The 22,309-nt window shown below is 54.0% G+C and overlaps 1 protein-coding gene across 16 annotated transcripts in view, besides 2 other annotated features; it reads right to left on the bottom strand.

Annotated features, from left to right (window-relative positions):
- Window positions 1-22,309, bottom strand: part of ADGRD1 (adhesion G protein-coupled receptor D1) — a 187,563-nt gene that overhangs the window by 119,169 nt on the left and 46,085 nt on the right. For 15 of the 16 annotated variants that reach the window (NM_001330497.2, XM_011538204.2, XM_011538206.2 and 12 more), the window contains 5 exons: window positions 21,859-21,918; window positions 18,999-19,116; window positions 18,005-18,115; window positions 16,254-16,329; window positions 7,961-8,102 (listed from right to left, as the gene is read on the bottom strand). In NM_001330497.2, coding sequence (NP_001317426.1) covers window positions 7,961-8,102; window positions 16,254-16,329; window positions 18,005-18,115; window positions 18,999-19,116; window positions 21,859-21,918 — 507 coding nt within the window. Of the gene's footprint in view, window positions 1-7,960; window positions 8,103-16,253; window positions 16,330-18,004; window positions 18,116-18,829; window positions 18,914-18,998; window positions 19,117-21,858; window positions 21,919-22,309 lie in introns of those variants that run through there. The other variant, XM_011538212.2, reaches the window with a different exon arrangement.
- Window positions 10,630-11,829: an enhancer, noted in NCBI's record as "CDK7 strongly-dependent group 2 enhancer chr12:131495017-131496216 (GRCh37/hg19 assembly coordinates)". NCBI's record gives its function as "activates an origin of replication core promoter dependent on BRD2, BRD4, P300/CBP, MED14 and CDK7 cofactors, with strong dependence on CDK7, by STARR-seq in HCT116 cells {active_cell/tissue: HCT116}" and the evidence as "EXISTENCE:reporter gene assay evidence [ECO:0000049][PMID:35650434]".
- Window positions 19,696-19,905: an enhancer, noted in NCBI's record as "active region_7354". NCBI's record gives its function as "activates an Ori minimal core promoter by ATAC-STARR-seq in GM12878 lymphoblastoid cells {active_cell/tissue: GM12878}" and the evidence as "EXISTENCE:reporter gene assay evidence [ECO:0000049][PMID:35858748]".

Genomic DNA, 22,309 nt, shown 5'->3' with positions numbered 1-22,309 from the left:
TTATTCTAGGCAAAGGGGAAAACCATCCCTTTACAGTGGGTTCATCTGGCAGACACCACCTCACTCATGCCATCCACGTGAGCGTTACCGGCAACAATGAGCATTCACATCCCATATTTGCTATGCTGGAGCCGAATTGCTCCCCACTAAAGTCACCTGTTGAAGCCCTAACCCCCAAGACCTCAGAATGTGACAGTGTTTGGAGTCAGGGTCTTTGAAGGGGTGATTAAGATAAAATGAGGTCATTAGAGTAGGCCCTAATCCAACGTGACCAGTATCCTTATAAGAAGAGATCAGGGCCGAGCGCGGTGGCTCATACCTGTAATCCCAGCACTTTGGGAGGCTGAGGCAGAATCGCCTGAGCCCAGGAGTTCAAGACCAGCCTAAGCAACATAGTGAGATCTCATCTCTACAAATAACTGAAAAATGAGCAGGGCATTGTGATGCATGTCTGAGGTCCCAGATTCTCAGGAGGCTGACGCAGGAGGATGGTTTGAGCCCGGCGATCAGGGCTGCAGTGAGCCGTGACTGCACCTCTGCACTCCAGCCTGGGCAAGAGAGAGAGACTCTGTCTCAAAAAAAGAAAAAATGGAAGATCAGGACACAGACACGCACGAGGGACGACCATGTGAGGACATAGGGAGAAGACACTGTCTGCAAGCCGAGGAGAGAGGCCTTGGGAGAAACCAAACCTACCGACACCTTGATCTTGGATTTCCAACCCCTAGAACAACAAGAAAATAAATGTCTCTCGCTTGGTAGCCCACAGGCCGACTCACACAGCCTGATGCTGCGATAAGAAAGGACCATTTCACTTCCCTGGCGTTCTTGTCAAAGACGCACAGCATCGGCCTAATCAGGAGGAAGCATCGGACAGTGACCAGGGATGCTCCACAAAGCACCGGCCGGCCGCCGCGAAGTGTCAAAGTCATGGGAGACAACGGGAAGCTAAGAACCCGTACAGACTGCAGTTGCCTAGGAGACGTGACAACTAAGCGCTCTGTGCCAGCCGAGATGAGACCCCGGGACTGAAAAAAAGCTGCAAGTGAGGAAACTGACACCATTCAAAAAACGTCTGTCGTTAATATCAGTGTCAATTTACTGGTTTCAATCATTGTACTTAAAAATACCACCATCAGGGAAGACGGATGAATGATCTGTATGTCTGTAGACATACAGGGGCATTCTGTACTATTCTTGACATTTTTTTTCTGTAACTTTAAAATCATTTCAGAATAAAAAGCTTAAAACATTGAGGTTGTAAACTGTTGACCTCCTGGCTGAATGCAACCCACACATAGGGTTTCTTTGACAACACTGGAAACAAATTTGAATTAGCTGCCAACAAGACACATCCAGGGATATAATTTAAAGCCCAAATTCTGGGCTGCTCTTCGAAAGTCACAAGCTGTGGTGACGGTGACACCCCAAGGAGGCCAAAACCCAGCCCGAAGGCACCCTGTGTCCAGGGCTGCTCCTCACACTGGCCATCCCGGGCCTGGCCCCTGAGAGCCACACCTAGAGGAGGGCCTAGTTTGAGGAGGTGCCCAGTCCTGAGGACACAGGTCCCCCGCACTGCACAAGGACAGAGCCTGAGGGCTTCTTCACGGTCCAGGGGCCTCGGATAAATGTCCAGGGTTCAGCCTTACCCAGGGCTTCATGTGAGGGCATCCACAGCTCGGGCAACTGCCTCGTTCAGACCTGGCCCATGTCCAGGTGGGCATGGCCAACATTTCAGAGCACTCAGCTTACAGACCTCCTTTTGCCAACAGTGCCTCCGTTTCCCTCCTCAGATCACCAGTGCCCCACTGCGTGTGAGCCTGGGGAACCAAACCTCTTCCCTGACCTCAGCCCTGGGGTGCTATTAGGCATGCATGAGGGGCAGAGCCCTGCCCTGGCCGGAGCTTGGGGTCCTGGCCTGGAACATCTCCCTGAAGCACCCTCTGCCCTGGCCGGAGCTCAGGGTCTTGCCCCTGGAACATCTCCCTCGAGCACCCCCTGCCCTGGATGGAGCTTGGGGTCCTGCCCCTGGAATATCTCCCTCAAGCACCCCCTGCCCTGGATGGAGCTCGGGGTCCTGCCCCTGGAATATCTCCCTCGAGCACCCCCTGCCCTGGATGGAGCTCGCGGTCCTGCCCCTGGAATATCTCCCTCGAGCACCCCCTGCCCTGGACGGAGCTCAGGGTCCTGCCCCTGGAATATCTCTCTCGAGCACCCCCTGCCCTGGACGGAGCTCGGGGTCCTTCCCTGGAACATCTCCCTCGAGCACCCCCTGCCCTGGATGGAGCTCAGGGTCCTGCCCCTGGAATATCTCTCTCGAGCACCCCCTGCCCTGGACGGAGCTCGGGGTCCTTCCCTGGAACATCTCCCTCGAGCACCCCCTGCCCTTGATGGAGCTCAGGGTCCTGCCCCTGGAATATCTCTCTCGAGCACCCCCTGCCCTGGACGGAGCTCGGGGTCCTGCCCCTGGAATATCTCCCTGGAGCACCCCCTGCCCTGGATGGAGCTCGGGGTCCTTCCCTGGAGCATCTCCCTGGAACACCCTCATTACACTCAGTCCCTTCCAGAATTTGTGGTAGCCTGAGCGATGGCCTGGCTTTGGGACTGACTGACATTCAGGTGGAGCTGAGGCCGTCTGATGAGAAAATGTTTGACAACAGCCATCAAACTGGCAGCACTGGGCTCTTTGCAATACGTATTTTTGGTGCTTATTCTAATTCTGAAATTTCCCAAGACTCTGCTTCGCTCATTCCTTGCTCCCTTCTAAGGAAAAAGCTTTCATCTTCATTGACCTGGGAAACTGACATTTCAATGTTGAATTAAAACTTCAGCTTTTGGTTGAACGCAGTGAGCAATTTTGACTGAAGAGAACACTGCAGATTCTGACCGATCGTCGTGTCGAAAACCCCTGGCGTCCCAGGGTGGTGTGTGGGTAGCATCCCTGTCCAGAGCCTCAGTGGAACTGCTGGAAAGGCCTCCTGCGTAGCCCTGGGTGAGGCACCCTGGAGACCCGCTCTGCCCAACAGCATAGCCTGAGCTGCCGAAGGTCTCAGCCCACTGGGTGCCCCTAGAGCCGGGTGGGACAGTGGCCAGAGGTCAGGGTGACCAAGGAGGAGCAGCAGGAGCCGGTCCACCAGAGGCCACTGCTGAGTCGGCCCAAGGTCAGGGTCTGAATCTGGATTATTTGATAGTTTGGGGAGCAAACAATGTTAAAAAGCAAAATCCTGCAGAGGCGTCTGTGCAGGGCTCTGAAGTGTGCACACCCGGGCACAGGCTGGGCCACCACGGCTGTTCTGAACCGGAGGCCTACGAGTCTGTGCCCCGGCCTTGCTGAGACGCTGCCTGTCATGTCCTCAGGCCCCAGCTGGGCTCCTGCCCCCACCTGCAGGACCTCACAGAACCAGAACAACCCGGGAGCCAAAAGCAAAGTCCCTCTCAAACACCTCAGTCTGTCCTGAAAGAAAATGACTGAGCGTACTGAGAAAGGGTGGTGGAAATGAAACGGCTGTGCTTTGAGAAAGAAGTTCCACGAGAATGTCAACACCTCTGCTAACAGAAACGATCCAGGGGTGCCACTAAACAGCGTTAAGCAAAATACATTGATTTGCCCTTTGTGTGTAAAAGGCAAAACCCTCCATATCAGGGAGGTGGGCTCTTTTCTATTTTATTTTGCACCGGTCATAACTGACTCAAGCTGGTTTCCTAAGAAAATAGAAGAGCGGGATTGTTTAACATACGGGTCCTCGTGGCCTGAAGTCAGTGAATGATGGGGCAGCACGAGGGAAGCGCTGCGTGAGGCGGCCGACCCGAGGTGGAGCTTCCCTCCTGTCTCACTGGTGGACCCTCTCGGTGGGAAACCGCGGGGATGAACCGATCTCTAAGACTAAGGTTCACCAGGCACCACAGGGGGCGTCCTCCACAGCAGGGGCAAGGCGGGATTTAACCAAAACCCGAGCCGATGCCCCTCATCCCGGCGTGAAGGGTCAGACATGCAGACACCTGGGAGAATGCGGGCCTCAGCCCTGCAATCTAACCACGTGGCTGTGATTCAGTTTACTGCCACCCTGCCTTCCTGGGAGCTGGAGGAGTGGGAGAGGAGGGGGCTGCCTGGGCGGGAGAGCGGATAGGCGTGAGGCCCCTGGGTGAGGCACCCTGGAGACCCGCTCTGTGCACGAGAGGGAGAAGCCATACCAGACAAAACAAATCACTTTCCACTTTCCAAATTCCAGAGCTCCTACCTGCCGGCCCTGCAAGGATGGGATGTGGGTGTGTGTGTCGGTGTGTGTGGTGTACTGAGGCTGGGTATGTGCACATATGTGCCTATATGGGTGCTGGATGCAGGTACATGCACTGGGTGTGTACTGAGTGTGTGTCTGTGCTGGGTGTGTGTGCACTGGTTGTGTGTGTCTGTGCTGGCTGTGTGTATACTAAGTGTGTGTGCCTGTGCTGGGTGTGTGTGCACTGAGTGTGTGTGGACTGGGTGTGTGCACACTGGGTGTGTCTGTGTTGGGTGTGTGTGTACTGAGTGTGTGAGCACTGGGTATGTGTGCACTGGGTGTGTCTGTGCTGGGTATGTGTACTGGGTGTGTGAGCACTGGGTGTGTGTGCACTGGGTGTTTGTGTCTGTGTTGGTGTATCTGTGTTGGGTGTGTCTGTGCTGGGTGTGTGTGCACTAGGTGTTTGTGTGCTGGGTGTGTCTGTGCTGGGAGTGTGTGGACTGAGTGTGTGTGGACTGAGTGTGTGGAGTGAGTGTGTGTGCACTGGGTGTGTGTGTCTGTGCTGGGTGGGTGTAGATGGGGTGTGTGTGGACTGATTGTGTGTGGACTGGGTGTGTGTGTGTCTGTGCTGGGTGTATGTGGACTGGGTGTGTGGGGACTGGGTATGGACTGTGTGTGGACTGAGTGTATGTGGACTGGGTGTGTGTGGACTGTGTGCACTGGGTGTGTGTGGACTGGGTGTGTGTGGACTGTGTGCACTGGGTGTGTGTGGACTGGGTGTGTGTGGACTGTGTGCACTGGGTGTGTGTGGACTGGGTGTGTGTGGACTGAGTGTATGTGGACTGGGTGTGTGTGGACTGTGTGCATGTGCATGTGCATGTGTGTGTATGCGTGTGCATGTATGCTGTGTAACCTCACTGGCTGTGTGGCTCTCCTGCAGCCCTGGCACTCAAGCTGTGCTCTCATCTCCTGCCTCCCCTCTCTGCCCGTGCCCTCCCCTCTCCACTTGCCCCCGCCTCACCTTCTGGGATGATCCCTGACTCCTGCTCTTCAAAGTCCCTCAGGCCCTGTGGTCGGCTGTGCTTCACAGTGCCCACCTCACTCACAAGGACAACTTCAACCTCAGAGCACACAGAGGTTCCAGAGTCCTTCAGAACAAGCCTCCTGCCTTTACAGACTTTTTTTTTTTTTGAGGCAGAGTCTCACTCTATCGCCCAGGCTGGAACGCACTGGCCCGATCTCTGCTCACTGCAACCTCTGCCTCCCGGGTTCAAGTGATTCTCCTGCCTCAGTCTCCCAAGTAGCTGGGATTACAGGCTCGGGCCACCATGCCCGGCTGATTTTTGTATTTTTAGTAGAGACGGGAATTCACCATGTTGGTCACGCTGGTCTCAAACTCCTGACCTCAGGTGATCCGCCCACCTTGGCCTCCCGAAGTGCTGGGATTACAGGCTGAGCCACTGCGCCCAGCTACAGACTCTTGACTACAGGCTTGACACGCCGCGGGGCAGCACTGCCCTACCCTCAAGCCCAGAAGCTCCAAGTGTCTCTGCTGCATGTCGCAGCCACATTTCCAAACATAGGCTGAGCCTGTGGAGTGCACCCTCACTGACATCACGGCAGAGGGGACAGCCTGTGCAGGGGACCAGGATTCTCTCCACACAAAGAGAAGACACAAATGTCAACTGCACAACTGCAAGACAGGGCACTGACTCCGGCACAGCACTCACTCAGCAAGCGTCTCCTGAGCCTCCACGCAGTGCCAAGGCCACTGCGGGCAGGGGGGAAGGGCAGTGGGCTCCATGCTGGATCTGGCAGCCTCTGAGAAGCTGCAGGCCATTTAAGGGATTACTGATTAGCATAAATGATTATAGCATACAGAGCTGAGACTCTGTGCTAATACAGCGCAAAGACCGCGTGGAGGGAGGTTCCCTTCTGTGCAGGCCGCAGAGGGCTTGGAGGAGAGAAGGCTCCTCCTGAGATGGGTGAACTCAGACAGCAGATGGGTGAGACAGGCCCACCAGGCACAGGGAACGACACCAGCAATGACAGCAGCTGTCTGCTGGGCTTGGAAGGAGAGCCAGAGGTGCATGGAAAGCCGGGCGGGAAAGACCTGCTAGACATCTGCCGACAGGCCCAGAGTGTAAATTCTCCTGCAGGGAACCTTGAGTCCCAGAAGGTCTTTGAATAGGTAAGTAGCACCACCTGATCTGTGTGTTTGACAATAAGTCTGTAAACTGTGGGGAGAATGGAGCAGACAGAACACGCGGAGGCTGCTGGTCCAGGTGAGAAGTCACTGGGAAGGAGAGGGACACCGGGAGGGGCGGAGGAAGCAAGGCAGGGGACACACTGAAAACAGGCTCACGGCTGGTCACATGCAGAGAGGAAGGGCAAGGAGGCTGAGGTGACCAGTCTCATCTCCAATCCCCTCTCCATCTCCATTCCCATCTCCATCTCCAACTCCATCTCCATCTCCAACTCCAGTCCCCTCTCCATCTCCATCTCCATTCCCATCTCCATCTCCATCTCCAACTCCAGTCCCCTCTCCATCTCCATTTCCATCTCTATCTCCATCATCTCCAGTCCCCTCTCCATCTCCATTTCCATCTCTATCTCCAACATCTCCAGTCCCCTCTCCATCTCCATCTCTATATCCAGTCCCGTCTCCATCTCCATCTCCATTCCCATGTCCATCTCAATCTCCAATTCCAGTCCCCTCTGCATCTCCATTCCCATCTCCATCCGCACCTCCATCTCCAGTCCCCTCTCCATCTCCATCTTCCACTCCAGTCCCATCTCCGTCTCCAGTACCATCTCTTGACTGCCCCAGCTCACCCAGCAGCACAAGTGTGTGGGCCCCTCCCAGGTGGGGCAGAAACACAGTCACCCTGGAAAGAACAGAAGCACCCACCCAGGTATGCGCACAGAGTCGGCCTTGGCCATAGAGCAGAGTGAAACAGAATGAAATAGAAAATCCTGCCAGGAAATGCCTTTAGTGTTAATTCTGACCAATAACACAGTGAGTTCTTGAATAAACACTTTGAAAAATCTCACTCTTTCAGTGTCACATCAAACACCATACCTCCTGACATGAACCTGGCGTGGGGAACAGCGCACGCGTTTTTTAAAGAACGGCAGCATTATACTCTGGTTTCTCCTCAGATTGTATACATCTTTTGCCTTTTACTAAAGAATGGCAGTGCATCGGTATCCCCAATGTCTCTGTCAGTCCTACTCACTGGCAAAAACAAACGACATGTGGAGAGGAGAGCGGTTATGAAGCATCAGGACCAAGAGCTTATCACGCAATGCCTGAAGCGTAAAAATGGTTTTGCCTGAGCTCTGAAGCATGTTTCTCTCTAACAGAACACAGTGCTGCATCTTGCTGATGGCTAATAACACACATGGTAACTGGGATGGCCAAGGTACCCCCCTCCTCCAGTAAGGACACTTGTTATAAATGAGGAAGATCCGTGATCGCTCCACACGTCTAGGAGAGCCACCTCGACGCCTCTTCCCCAACATCGACACCGCGTGGCCAGCCCAGGCACTATGCGAGGGGCCTCCCACTGCAGCTCAGAAACAAAGGCCCAAGAGAAGGAGCTCCAGGGAGAGGAAGATTCCAGTTCGGGCCGGCACCAAGGCTGTTGGAGATTCTTTATGCAAGCACACAGACAACCCAGCATTCCTCAGTGTGAAACCAGATCAAAGGCGGCGACAAGGGTGAAGGCACCGCCACTCACCAATCTGTGCTTGAGGTGGACCGTAATGAGTGGAGAGCCCGACAGGTTCTGAGACAGGGTGGGTGGTGGGGACACCTCCAGGGAAATCAGGTGGCTGGTGGCGAACAGCAGGCAGTCCTGGTGATGCATGGCCTCCGCGATCCTTGGGAAGAGACGGAAATCATTACAAAATGGGAAACGCAGGGGAGCAGCACACAGCTAGAACCTAGGCTGGGAGCCAGCGTTCCACCCAAAACTATTGAGACGGAAATCTTCTTTGGATGAAGCTTTGATTTCTTTCATTCAGCTCCCGCTGCTCTCCTTCAAGATGTGAAGCTGGTACCTGCAGGCGAGTTCAACTATTCTGTGTTTTAACTCTGTCCCTTGAATTCTTATCTTCAATACCTGCTCTCGTTAAGGTGTGACGCCAGGACCAAGAGGTGAGACAGAGCCCTCGACCTCAAAGAGTTTATAAGAAAAGTAAGATGGCCCAGGAAGCATGGATGAGCAGAAATGCTCAAAATAACAGGGCATGAATCTCACCGATTCCACTTAATCAGCTGTGTGACCTTGGGCAGGTAACTCACCCTGTCTGAGTGTCAATTTCCCTGATTATAGGATGGTGCAGTGGCCATCTGCTGTTTTGCCCACCCAGTATTCATTCATCGTTTTCCTGATCAAAGCACCTGCCTTCCCCTCTAGGTGGCCATCCCCTTCCCCGCTCACAGCCCACACAGCCTGGAGTTGACTCTATCTTGGCTCAGGAGGAAGCCCTGGTATCTGGGTCTGGATCAGTCAGTGCACCGCAGCCCTCAGGCCATGGGGACCATTTAGGAATGACACCCAATCCAGTCAAATCTGAGGAGATGCCAGAAGGCGAGGTGGGGGGAGAATGAGGGCTCAAAGACCCTCATTCTCCCTGCCAGACTTCTCCTCATGCCCTGAGGCACGAGGCCCTGGGAGCTGCTTGCATTCATGAGGAGGGAGACTGATTGAGAAGGGAATTGCTGAGAGATGGAGCCCAGCAACAGCAATGGGATGCTGGATCGAGCTGCTCCTGAAGCCAGCCCTCTGCAGAGCTCTCGGCTTACGTGATCCAATAAACTCCCCCTTGGCCTAAAACTGTTAAAGATGGGTTTTCCGCCCCTTGCAGCCCAATCTAAAGAAGCCTAACTGATGTCTACAGTGGCTGTCTCGTGGGGTTATGAGCTTGAAAAGATATTCAGGGCCAGGAGGAGGGTGAGGGAAGCCAGGTACCTGAAGGGCAAGATTGAAGAAGGTGCTCACACTGGGCACGACCCCAAGGATGACCAGCTCCTTTAATTTTGTGCCCTCAGCCCATTTGCCTGATTTGATCCCAGCCCTGCCTGGCACACAGCAGGTCACCAAGTATCTGTTCCATGAATTTGAATTTGGGGTGACTACACAAAGATGCCTGAGACGTGCTGTCACCGGGCCCCCCGCGGTCACCCAGCCGTCTGCTTCTGTGTGGGCCTCACCCGGGTCCTGTGCACCTCCCCCGTCCACCATCCAAAGCGCTGACTGACTGAGGAACCTGCAGGTCCCTGTTTCGACACCCACTGAACCACCTTTGGGACATCCCACAGGGCTCTGGGAGCTGGGGGCACCATATTTTTCCTCCCTCAACTTGTTTTTCCTTCTAACTAGATTCAAACACCGTGTTCAGTGACCCTGCCTGGGATGGGCGGTGGGGCTCATGGAGCAGGAGCACGTCCCACCTCACCCCCGGCCTCTGCACTGTCTCCTTACACACATCCCTGAGAAAGAGCAGGCCTCCAAGAAGCACGCAGAATTATTCCTGGAATTGTAAATACAAAGTGTTTACAAAGATGGCGCCATAGAGAATGAACACCCTGTCTGTTCCCGCAGAAGCGACTTCCTGCAGATCATCACCAGTTCACAGGGTCTGGAGCAAACCAGGGTCATCGATTCTCAGGCCTGTGAGTAACAACAGACGCGACTGCTCGACCCGGCAATTCCTCTATGTGACCATGTTATTGATCCAAGCCCAAAGTCCAGATGACACACATGGAGTAAAACACAAACTTAAAAAAAAAAAAAAATGAAAAGAAAGCATCACCCTAGGTCCACGTGTCTCAACCATTTTTTTCATTATAGCCCCTCTGAAGAGGCTTTTTAGACATTTTTTTCTAATAAACTTGCCCAGAAAGTTTTAGTCCCACAGAGATACAAGCTGTACGTACAGAACGTACATAAACATTCCACTCTGCAGAGCCGCAGACCCGGGTAGTATCTCAGATGTTTCCCCGGAAGAACAACATTCACCGTCTGAGAACATTCACCACTGGGCATGCGTGGGCTCAGTCCCCACCGCAGAAAGTGAGGGTGGGCTCGAGGCCGCAGAAAGTTGGGGGGGACCAAGGCAAAGCCCCGCGGCGCCCAGCCTGACTCACTCAGCAGAACCTTGTCCCCGCCCCGCACGCGACTCCAAGGCCCTAAGACGTGTGGTGTGTTCGCTTCAGCCAGGAGCCTGGTTCTCACTCTCTGTGCCCAGTGCCCCGATGCTCGTGGCCTTTTCTGCAGAGCTCCATGAACTCAACACGTGTGCAATTCCACCAAACGCGCTGGAAAAACCACGTTGCTAGCAACACTTAGGGCTGTGCCATTAGCCAGAACAGAAAGTCGCAGCTGTGGGCTTCAGGCCCTAAACACGCAGCATGATTTGTCCCTTGACTTTCCCTCCGTGGACATTTCCTGATGGTGCAACCGGTGGTCATCATCTCCCTCCCAGAACAGAAATTCCCCTGGGGCCCGGATGCTTTCCCGTTTGGTTCACTGCTCTCCCCAGCTCCCGGAACCACGCCTGACACAGTGGGTGCTCAGCACACACGTGAGTGAGTGAGCGAGTGGATGAATCTACTCACAGGCAAGCGGCGATGACTTAGATCCATTTCTTAGGAAAAACATAAGGAAAACATTAAGTGAGAACCTTCTATGAACACAAATGATATGAGAGCAAATCTGGAGTGGTTTCCTGGATTCCGCTCCGGGAACACGTGGCCTCCACCAGGCCCAGTTTGGTAATCAGTGCGACGCCAGATGTCGGCCAAGTCAAGATGAGAATGGGGCCAGACGCCTCCTTAGGAGCATTTTCCTCCAGTAAAGGTGGGGACAGAGGTGAGGTGGGGAAGGGTGGGGCAGGGGTGAGGTGGGGCAGGGTGGGGAAGGGGTGAGGTGGGGCAGGGTGGGGAAGGGGTGAGGTGGGGCAGGGTGGGGCAGGGGTGAGGTGGGGCAGGGTGGGGCAGAGGCTGTGCTGGCTCTTCCTCTGCCCCTTATACCCTGCCTCCACCCGCCCCGTCCTGTGCCCATCAGCCAGGCTCTGGGCTCTCTCCCTTCATGTGCTCAGCAAAAGGGAAGCCCCAGAAGGTCAGAGGGCATCGGAGCAGATAGTGGGGCCAGGATTCTTTTCCCTCAGCCTACCAGGGCACAGTCGCTGCCCCGGGGGCCCCTCCATCTCTGCCCGGGGAAAGCCATCTCTTCCAGGGCCTGCCTGGCTGGCCCTGGGGAAAGCAGCGTGCCCCCATTCTTGTTCCTGGCCCGTGACTGTGCTGTCCCCCAGAGCTCTCCACTCCTGATTGCACCTTTGCAAATCCGCCTTCCTTCAATGTGCCCCAAGTTACTACCTGGCCCCACGGAGCCCCACCGATGGTCAGGCTCTGCGTCCTTCACCCCACGCAGCACATCTGAGCCAAAGCCACGCTGCTGCTCCGCCTTCCGTTACACAAAGAGGGGACTTAAAGTTACATGAGGCTTCAGAGGAGTGCTGAAATCTATGAGGAGACACAGAGACTTCCCAGCCTGTGCAGAAGACCGGCTCAGGAACTCAATCCAAAGAAGTCAGACCAAGTGGAGTAAGAAAAAGGGCTGTTATTCGGTTATTTGGAGAATTATCAAGTCCTCACAGTTACCATGTCACATTGGGGAGTGAACAAACATCGCAAATGAAAATATTCCCTGGTAAAGGAACTCCTTGATAACTGGCTCCTGCTGACACATGCCTGTGTGCTCAAGGAATCCCCTCACCCATCCGTCACACACTGCTTGTCACCTTCCCTCAGCGCGAGAATTCAACGCCACCCTGGGAACACAGTGTGAAGGAAACTCCAAATCTTGCCAACAAGGTGGCACATGGCAGCATCTCTGAGTGTGATCTTGGGTGATGGTGAATTCTTGAAGGAGACTGAGCCCCTGACTGACGCAAACAGCAGAAGGAGACAGCATCGAGGGTAACAGGCGACTTCCTCAGCACCGATGCTGCCCAGGTGACGTTGTTCTCTGTTTCGAGCAGCACTGCAGCCAGGGCCTTTCAGAAAGGACGGCAACAGCCACAATTCCTGCCCATGCCAGGAGCCCCCGCAGCTTTGCACTGTTAAAAGTCAAACCAGCAGGAAATCTGCCAGAAAACAGTACAACGCATAGGCTTCACCTACACTCTCAGCTCTTATCATTTGCCATGTTCACTTTATCTGGCAGTGGTCACGCTCACACTTGACACACACATACCACACATGTACACACACACACGCACATGTATGCACATACAACACACAAATGCACACACGCGCATTTGCATGCCCACAGCACACACAAAACACACATGCACATATGTGCACACATAACGCACATACACCACACAAGCACATACATGCACCTGTGTGCACACACACAACACACAAATACACGCACACATGCACATTTCCTTTCTGCTGAAGCACTAGCGGTGTGTTGCAGGCATCACAGCATACTCCATCTCTACCACGTGTCTCCTAAAAATGGAGACTGCCTCCTATATAACCATCAAACAATGATCACACTCAGAAATTTAACGAGGACCCTACAAGATGCTCTAATGCACAGTCCAGAGTCAACTGCACACACCCCCCACCATCACACACGTCCTCCAGAACTCCACTTCTCTCAACCCAGGAATGTGCATTAGCTCAGGCACGAACCTCTTTAGTCTCCCCCAATCCGGAACTGCCCAACTTCTTCTCCCTTGCAATCGAAACCACAGCAGCACACAACATCGCTTAGTTCAGGTGTGTCTGACTGCTTCCTCGTGAGGGGCGTGAGGCCATGCATCTGACAGGAGTATGCCACAGGAGGCATGGACGTCTCCCATGACGTGACAGCAAGAGACACGGGCCCACAACGTGTCCCACGTTGATAATGTTGAGTGTGGCCACCTGGCTGCAGGCGTGCGGCAGACATCCCCATCACCAGGCACCCTCCGACCTGGTACAGCTAGGACTCTGCAGGTCGGTGAGGTCCCCCGCCCCGCAACCCTGCTCCCGCTGGTGTGCACATCCACTGATAGCTTCTGCCTGGGTCAGTTACTGCACTGAGGGCTGCAGAACCGTGACCTACTGGTTCCATCGGTGCTCCGTGTCACTCTATAGTGACTAAGGACACACGCTGAGCCGGGTCCACCTCCCCACTCATCTTTCTCGAGCACCCGTGAGTCCCTCACAGCCTGGGGAGAGGCCCTTCCCTCTGTGGGCTGTGGCTTCCATCTTCACAGGAGGACTGGGAGCAGGCCAGTCTCAGCCCCGTCCACCTGGAGGAACCGGCTGTCCCGGTGCTGGCTGAGCCTAGCACGAGCACCCGTAAAAGCTGAACAGTCTCCATCATTGCGGGGCCAGGCAGCGAGTGAGACTCAAAGGATCCTAGGGGTACAAGCAGCCGGGCAAGAAGCAGCTAAGCCCCCACCGGGCCGTGGGTGGTCAGATATCATCCCCTCCGTCATCACAGGAGCCCTGGAATGGTCTGCCTGGGGCTGGCTGTGGAGACAAAAGTTCCTTCCGGCCCAGGCCCCACCCTTTGTGCACTGAGACTCACGTACTGACTTAGACCCTCACCCTCATCCCTGGAGAAGAAATTAAAGGACACTACGGCACCAAAGCATCCTTTCATCCTCACAACACACTGCGGATGTATGAGGATGACAGCACACAATACAAAGACAAAGACGGAGGGAAGTCCCCTGCAGGCTGGCAGGAACCCGGCATATGTGCGCACATAAACGTGCTGCCCGCACGGCAGCTGCACTAACCTGCTTCTCATCGTGCCCAGGATTTGATAATTACCTCAAAGGCAAAATGGCACAAATGCCCAATCAGCTTACAAAATCACAAAAGCAGGCACTTGTATGTCATGTTTAAGAAAACCAAGCCCTACTTACACCATTAACTCATTCAGTCCTCCTGGCAATCCTCAGAAATCAGTGCTATTATTACTCCTGTTTTAAGAGGAGAACACAGGCCTCCAGGCTCAAGTCACTTGCCCAGGGTCACACAGATAAGGAGGGCACCTGTGAACCAAACTCTTTGTCCCCTCCACTTCCGTCCACCTCTTCTGCTACAGGTACAAGGTACACAGGTACAATGTAACAAGTACAGAGACTTTACTGGATGAGCTGTTTGCATGATTTTTTTCCAGGTGAATTTTGATGACAAGGCATCTTTGCACTAAGTGCTGAAGAGAGCTTCACCTGAGCTGAAGATCCAACTTCACTGCAAATGAAAAACATGTTCCATCGCTGCACAGCCAGTTCTGCTTTGGCTTCAGCACGTAAATGTGCTGCTCATGGAACATGTTGTGGGGCTGGTGTCAATGCTGACGAACCAGGGATGACTTGGCTGTCCAATTTCCAGGCCCTCGGTTTGCAGGGGGACGTCAGAGTTAGCTGCATTGTTCTGGGACACAGTGGCCTGCATCCTGGGGCTCCAGTGTCCTGTCTGCAGACACCTGGGTCCGTGAGGACAGCAGAGGGAGAGTGAAGGCTGAGGCCCTGGGGACAGGCGAGACAGACTGTCTTCCATCTGCAAGGCTGTGGGCTCCCCAGAGCAGGCCCCGCCGGCCTCTCCTCTGCCCATCCCTGCCAGCGCTGATCTAATAGAGGGTCTGGCAAAGATCTGCAAACTGCAGCTCTTGGGCTGGCCGCCTGGTTTTGTAAATAAAGCTGTATTGGAAGGCAGCCACTCCCCCATTTCCCCACGTAGTGTCTCTGGCTGCCTTCACCCTGTGAGGGCAGAGTTCTGGAAAGCCAAGCCGATTTACAAGCTGGCCCTTCATGAAAGAGCTGGCTGACACCTGGCTGGAGTCAGATTCTGGTGGTCACAGTGAATTGCCCCTGAAATGTGTGCACCCTGCATCTGGAAGCAATCCTCCCGCCTTTGTGACGTTGTGGGCCGTGGCACGGATGCCGCTTTCCCACGCAGGTTCTCACTGTGGCCGCACAAGACACAGCGACACCTCACAAATGCACGTCTCATATATTTCACAGCAAGGCCAGCTTCCTGGTGGAAACTTCAGCAGGAGGGGCCAAGGAAGGGTCACCTTTTCATTCACTATCTTGGAAAGATCTCCCCAAATAACTGAGATGGCATCTTTTTGAGGAAAATAGATTGCATTTTTCTTTGACCATTTTCCTGAAGAATTTTGGAAATCACACATAAAGAGTGGCAGGCCCCCCACTTTCTTTCATTAGGAGGAAATCGGTAAGCATGCAGGCTTTCCCCAAGAAATCTGACGCAGAAGACGGTGTTTCCTCCAGATCACAAAATTTAGGACTACATTCCTCAGGAAAGAGGCATCCCCTCCCCTCCCTCCTCATTTCCCTCATCCTCCCCAGCCTCGCCGCCCCCCTCATGGTCCCCACCCTCCTTGCTCTCCTTCTGGGTTCTCAGGACCCAAACCCACATGAGGCGATGCTGCAGGAGCCAGCTCTGCTCCTATGGAGGGGCCTGTCTGGAGGACAGCAGAGGCAGGGGGCAGACAGAGCAGGTCTAGACGGCGTCCTCGGGGTCCCCGGGTCCAGCCATGACTGAGGCCCACCTGCTCCTCCCTTTTCAGTCCCCTGAGCCCTCAGTTTCCTGGCCTTCCACTTAAGCTGATGTGAAATGGCTTTGCCCATCTGTGTGTTTGCCCATGACTGACACAGACAGGTCTGTTGTCTTCCATTACACAGCAGTGGAAACTGAGGCTCAGAGAGGTTAAGTCCCTTGCCCAAGGTCACACAGTTCTGTCCAGGCGGGTGGGTAGGGTCTTCTGGCCCGTGCTCCTGACCTCCACTCCACCAGCCTGGCCCCAGCCTTGCAGTTCCCAAGTGGCCTTCAAAACGCTTCACGTTTCCTTGCCCGAGCAGTGAAGCGCCCGGTACTCGTGTCCAGAGTTCTCAGTGTTGTGCGTGTGGGGCGGGCATCCCTGTGGCCAGCCACCCAGCAAACCCACGCACACCCACGCCCCTGAGCTGAGCACCCCCGAGACTCACTTGGTGTGGGCGGGCCAGATGTTGTTCAGGTAGTAGTGCATGCTGTGGTACAGCAGACCCACGACGGTGCTCCAGGCTGCAGAGAGAGCAGAGGGGCAGGCGCTGTCAGCGCTCCAGGCCACAGGCAGGAAAAACACAAAGCCCCACGCCCCGCCATGCATGGTGCTGCCCCTCACTCCTAAGAACCCTCTGGGGAGAAGGAAGTGAAGGACACTCGGGCAGAATTTGCAAGGACAAAGACTCTGCAGCAACTCAGCAGCGTGACGGTGGATCCCTGCTCCATCCCCTGAGCCAGCTCCAGACATGTGGAGGCTGAAACCCCCCAGGGAGGGCCAGGCTCACCCAGGGCATCACACGGTCTCAGAGCCCCTGCAGGGAGAGCCAGGCTCACCCAGGGCATCACACAGTCTCAGAGCCCCTGCAGGGAGACAGCTCCTGCAAGTCAACAGGGGGCAGTGCCAGCCTCCAGCCTTGCCCCACGAGTGCATCCCGTCTGCCCTCCACACGCAGAGGATTTAGGGCAACACTGAGTGAGGCAGAATGCAGGTTTTCAAGGGGGCAGCAGCCACTGGGAAGTCTGTATGCCTTCACCTGGTCACACCTCTATTATAACCAGCCATGAAGCAGGGTCACATGTGCTTTTGCTATTTCACTCCATGGCTCGGCCACGGCTCTGCCAGGATTGGAAATCAGGGCACTCCCAGCAGATCATGCGGCCAGGAGATGCTGGTAGATGTCGGCACCATCCCTGGGCCCTCCCTGCTGATGCTGGAGGAAGGTGGCATCGTCCCTGGGCCCTTCCCTTGGCTTCTGGGGTAGGGACATCCCTGCCTCTGCCCTAGGAGCAGGGCACACCTGACATCATGCTAGTTGAGGACAGGGCAGAGAACCAGTCGGGGCACCTTTCCCACAGACAATCAAGATGGTGGTGGGTGCAGAGACAGGCTCCCCACTGCAGAGAGAGATGTCTGATGAGGGCTGTCCTGGTCCCCATCCCTAAGGCAGAACCCTGGGAAGGGGGCGTGGCCTCTGGCCAGGGTGGCAGGGGCAAAAATCTGAGGCTCTCCCCTGCTTGCCCGAGGTCCCCAGGGAGGGAAGGAGAGGAAGGAGATGTCTGCAGAGTCATATTCGCTTTTCCAGGAACCAGAGAGGGTGACGGTCATTGTAGCAAAAAATAGCCAGGGCCATCTGGGCTCCCAACAGGGCTCCCTGGTCAGAGGCAGGGGGTCCCCTGAGCCTCTCATTTTTTATTATGTGACTCGACTGAGGCCTGCACAGGAGTGGAACCCCAGGTTCCTGAACAGATGAACCCCTCACCTGGCCCACAGCTACCTGAGCAGGAAGGGGAGGTGGCCCCATCTTTTTATCTTCGGCTGACCAGGTGTGTGCCGATTTAGGAGGATGTAGGTAGGATGACTTCCCAGTGGGCCGGATTCCCCAGGCGAGCAGGTTGAGATGCTCCCAGACCCCACCCCAAATTCCAGTTCAGTGGCCTGGAGTGGGCACAGCATTAGCATCACTAAGGAACCTCTCAAGCGTGTCCATGAGGGTGGCCTGAGGACACGCTTTGAGAACGGCTGCCCACAGTCCCTCTCCTGCAGGACAGGACAGGCAGTCCGGGGGAGCACCGCAGGCGGCCCGGGGGAGCACCGCAGCTCCCTGGCGCGGTGGGCACCCAGCAAAGCTTGGGGACTCTTCAGAAAGACTTGAGGGAGCCGCCCCGGAAGGGAGTCCAGCGCAGCCACACTCACCGTGCCTGTGGAAGGCCTCGTGGGGGATCTGGATGAAGCTCTGCCCGTGGGCCGGGAAGCGGTAATGGGAGGAATTCACGGTCTTGGGCAGGATTTTGGCCACGGAAAACTCTGCGGTGGAAGGAGCGAGAGAGCGGAAGTCCCGTCAGAGCTCACAGGCTGCAGGAAATCAGACTGCAAAACCCCGTCTGCTTTTCTTTTTTGACAGGACAAGCTCCCCACGGGAAGTATAATTACCTTTAGAAAGCATGGCCTCAAAAAAAAAAAAAAAAAGGGTAAAGCAATGAAGAGCCCAGGCAGTGACTGCCACGGGGAGGCTCAGCATTCCGGCCCACGGGCGCGCGGCTCCTCACCTGGGGCGCCCTCCGCCCCAGCACAGCCCCCAGCTCTCAAGGCCGGTGCAAGGATGGGCTGTGCTCAGCGATGCGGTGACATCGGCTCCTCCCCAAGCGCAGCAGGCGAGGGCAACACGGCCAACAAACTGCGACTAAACTAACCCCTGTAGCTTCAGCCCATTTTCCCCAGCTCGGCTCTTGCAGCGAAGTATCAGCAGGATAATGCACTCCTGGTAAAGACTTTTAAAATCGAAAGGTCATCACCTCTGCCTCTACAATTAGACAACTGTGACAATTACCCTGGAGCCCAGCTGAGAGCAAGCTGACGCCAGAAACCCGAGGCCACCCCTTTTATTCCACAGACTCTTGCAGGCACTGCTGCTTCTGCCTCCTGCTCTGAACCGAGACCATCATCCCAGGGCAGGAGCTTGGCTCCCAAGTCACTGGGAAAAGCTTATGGGCCCCATCTGCATATCATGGCCGAACACACCTGCCCTCATCTGACCACGGGTTTTCCTTCCAAATGTGGTTTGTGCCAGGCAGAGCAGTCAGGGAGACAGAGCATGGCTCTCTGCTAAGGGTGTAAAAAGACAGGCAGTGAAACGCAGCCTCCAGCCCCCGCCCCTGCCATGTGGCTCACCCTTACAAGCGACAGCTACCTGCCATGGCAGAGGAGCCCTCCACGGTGACCTGGGGCGTGCTGCCGTGCAGGTTGGAGGATACATGGCCCATGACGGTGTCAATAGTGTCGATGAGACTCAGTACCACGGCGCTGTCCTGCAGCAACACAAGCACCAGGAGCCATGAAAATCCACCCCACTCAGCCAGGGCACCAGGCAGGTGCACCAGGCACACAAAATCAAGTTTCCCCACGTTGGCCACGAGGGAGGAAGAAGTCACACAACTGCCCCTTCCCATGGATCAGGAGGGGACCACACGGAGGCCACACACCCGACTGAGCTCACGGAGCATGGACACAGCCCAGGTGGACCCATCACCCCAGCCATCGCCGGCTCCTGCATTTCTACACTTAGACACGGGGACTGAGGGGACCCAACTCCTGGTCCTGCCTCCTCCCTGAACTCACAGAGGGACCCTCAGCACATCCCAGACCCTCCCCCTACCTCCCTGTGCTTCACGAGGAGGGGCTGATCGCCCCCAGGTCCACTCTGGGATGGGGACACCAGCAGCTCTGTCCCCTTCTCCATGAAGGGTGGCTGCTTCCGAGGTGCCGGCACCCAGAGCTATCTCTGGCTGCCTTGACTTCCCAGGAGCTTGCCTTCTACTCCAAGAGCCCTCTTTCCTTTCTGAGTTCCAGAGCAGAGGATCCTGGTAGACACTGCCCCCAAGAAAGCAGGGGGCCCTCATCCTCAGACACACATCACCAGGGGAGAGGCCTCTCTTAAGCCCTGCTGAGCTGGGCCAGTGAGCTCTGCCTTCACTGCTTCTCTTCCTGCCTTTCTGGGGAAGCACCTGCCTGCTGCTAAGTCCTCAGCATTCTCCCACAAACACGCACTTCAGAAGAGCCTCATGAGCTGGAAATAGAATGCTGAGGCCAATTTTAGATATTTGCTTTTAGGCCCATAGCCTGATTTCAGTCACCAGGCCCAGTTAAGCACATGGAAGTCTGTGTTTCTGGCATGCAGTTCTGTGGGGTAGAGACCGATTCATGCATTCTCTTTAATGCATATTGGACCCTGCCTGAGTCTGGACAGTTTCCTGGTTATTCATATTTTGTAACAGATTTGCATATTTTGCATTCAAAAGCAGTTAATTAAAATCATGCACAAAATACGTCTGCCTGGATACTTCCATTGGCTGTCCTCTGGGTGTTCCCAGCCTGCAGCTTTGGACACAAAGTCCCCTTGAAATCATGAAAGAGGTCAAACCTTTTAAAAAGGAATTGTTTTCTAGGTAAGACTGTATCCATCTTACATTCTTGAGCCTTTTTTTCTCCCTTTGCCACTGTTAAACCTAATCTCATTCCACTTGAAATTATTCAAACAAAAGTTTATCAAATGTAAACTCTAACGCAATCTTATTAATAATGAGAGAATAAAATGCCACTTCTGCCCTCAAACTGGCAAACATTTTCAAATATTATCAGGGCTTAGGAGAATGAGCACTTTAATATCATGGTGGTGTGGTTGGGACCCTTCTGGGCCAAGGCAGTTAAGAGTCCTCCTCACCCTTCTCTGCCCCTGCCTGGCAACCTTGGAAACCACATATTGAGAAGCCAGCACCGGAAGACAGATGGAGCCAGGATCCCTGAGTATCTGGGTGGAGAAGAGGCTCCTCTGACTCACTCTGGACTTTGCATGGCAGAGAAGTAAATTTCTACTGTGCTGAGCCACTGAGATGTAGGGATCTATTTGTTACTGCAGTGCACCCTGGCCTGTCCTGACTAATACAGTGTTGCAGGTGAATACTTAGTATCATTGGAAAGTGTTATTGACATAATTAAGGAAAAACAAATTAAGTCAAATATACAGTATATCTGTTGAATACATATATAAGTGAATTGAAAACTAGACTATAAGGAAATATACAAGAATGTTAATAATCTCAGTTTTAGGATTTGAAGTGATTTTTATTTTGTTTTTTATTATCTGCATTTTCTAACTTCTCCACAACTATTTATTTGTTTTCTTTTTAAATAAGTACAATCAAGTTATTTTCAGAAATATAGGAAAAATTATTTCATTCTCCTTTCTAGCTATTTTGAGTAAAGAGAACAAGAGAAGCTTTTTTTCTGCACCTTAATCATGAAGTACATATTGTCATGTATTCTCCTTTTTCTTACTAAATCCAGTGACTTTTAACATAAAAAGCTTTCTATTGTCATTCAAGAATGATGGGATGGTAAAGAAAAAAAAAATACATATTACATGAAATGACCAGGATGAACCAAGTACACATTTCTCATGGGGAAAAAACCATCATTTCCTTCTTCCATGTTTAGGACAGTAACACATTACTGACACACGTGCATTTCTTTTGCCTTAGAGGACAAGGCATTCTGAATCAGTTGCATGTCTACTCAAAATGAGCTCTTATATCCCAGATGTCAGGACTGGGAGATACATCATTCTTTTTGTGGATGTGACTGGGCCATATTATGCCACTTCTAGGAAGACAAAATGGTTCCCGAGGCACATACGTTTTGAAGATCAAAATGTTCTTTTCTCTCTCTCTCTTTTTTTTTTTTTTTTTTGTTTTTTGAGACAGAGTCTCACTCTGTTGCCCAGGCTGGAGTGCAGTGGCACAACCTCGGCTCACTGCAACCTCCGCCTCCCAGGTTCCAGCAATTCTCCTGCCTCAGCCTCCTGAGTAGCTGGGACTACAGGTGCCCGCCACCACGCCTGGCTAATTTTTGTATTTTTAGTAGAGATGGGGTTTTGCCACATTGGCCAGGCTGGTCTTGACTCCTGACCTCAAGTGATCCACCCGCCTTGGCCTCCCAAAGTGCTGGGATTATAGGTATGAGCCACCATGACCGACCATGTTCTTTTCTCTTACCTCTGACAGAGCAATCCAACCAGGCAGTAGAAGGATCTCTCCCACGGCTTTTAAGAAGGTCTAAAGGTGGACAAAATGACACTGCTCAGCACCTGTCCTTAGGCAACAAACTTGAAGACCTTCAGTTTTCCCCGCATCTTCCAATGGGTCTCTATCAACCACCAGTTCAGTTTTATGCACGGCAGTCAACAAAAATAGCTGAGTCATGGACCACATGATATGTTACGAAGCCCTTTTATGGACGTTATCTTATTTGCTCCTGTGGCAGCCCTGTCGAGTCAGTGACCAGCACCGGAACGTCAGAATGAACACTGCTCAGTGACGGCAGGGGCCCTAGCACAGCGCCTGGGGGACACGGCAGGCCCTCAGTGAAAGCCCGTGGAGTGGAGAGACGTGTGGGAAAATCATGACCTGCTGGATGCGCTTTTCTTGGGGCGAGAAACCAAACTGA

The sequence above is a fragment of the Homo sapiens genome, chromosome 12 (genome assembly GCF_000001405.40).
Source record: "Homo sapiens chromosome 12, GRCh38.p14 Primary Assembly".
In the NCBI taxonomy this organism is placed as follows: Eukaryota; Metazoa; Chordata; class Mammalia; order Primates; family Hominidae; genus Homo; species Homo sapiens.
Note: the sequence above shows the minus strand (reverse complement) of the source record. Positions and strands in the feature narration are given on the sequence as shown.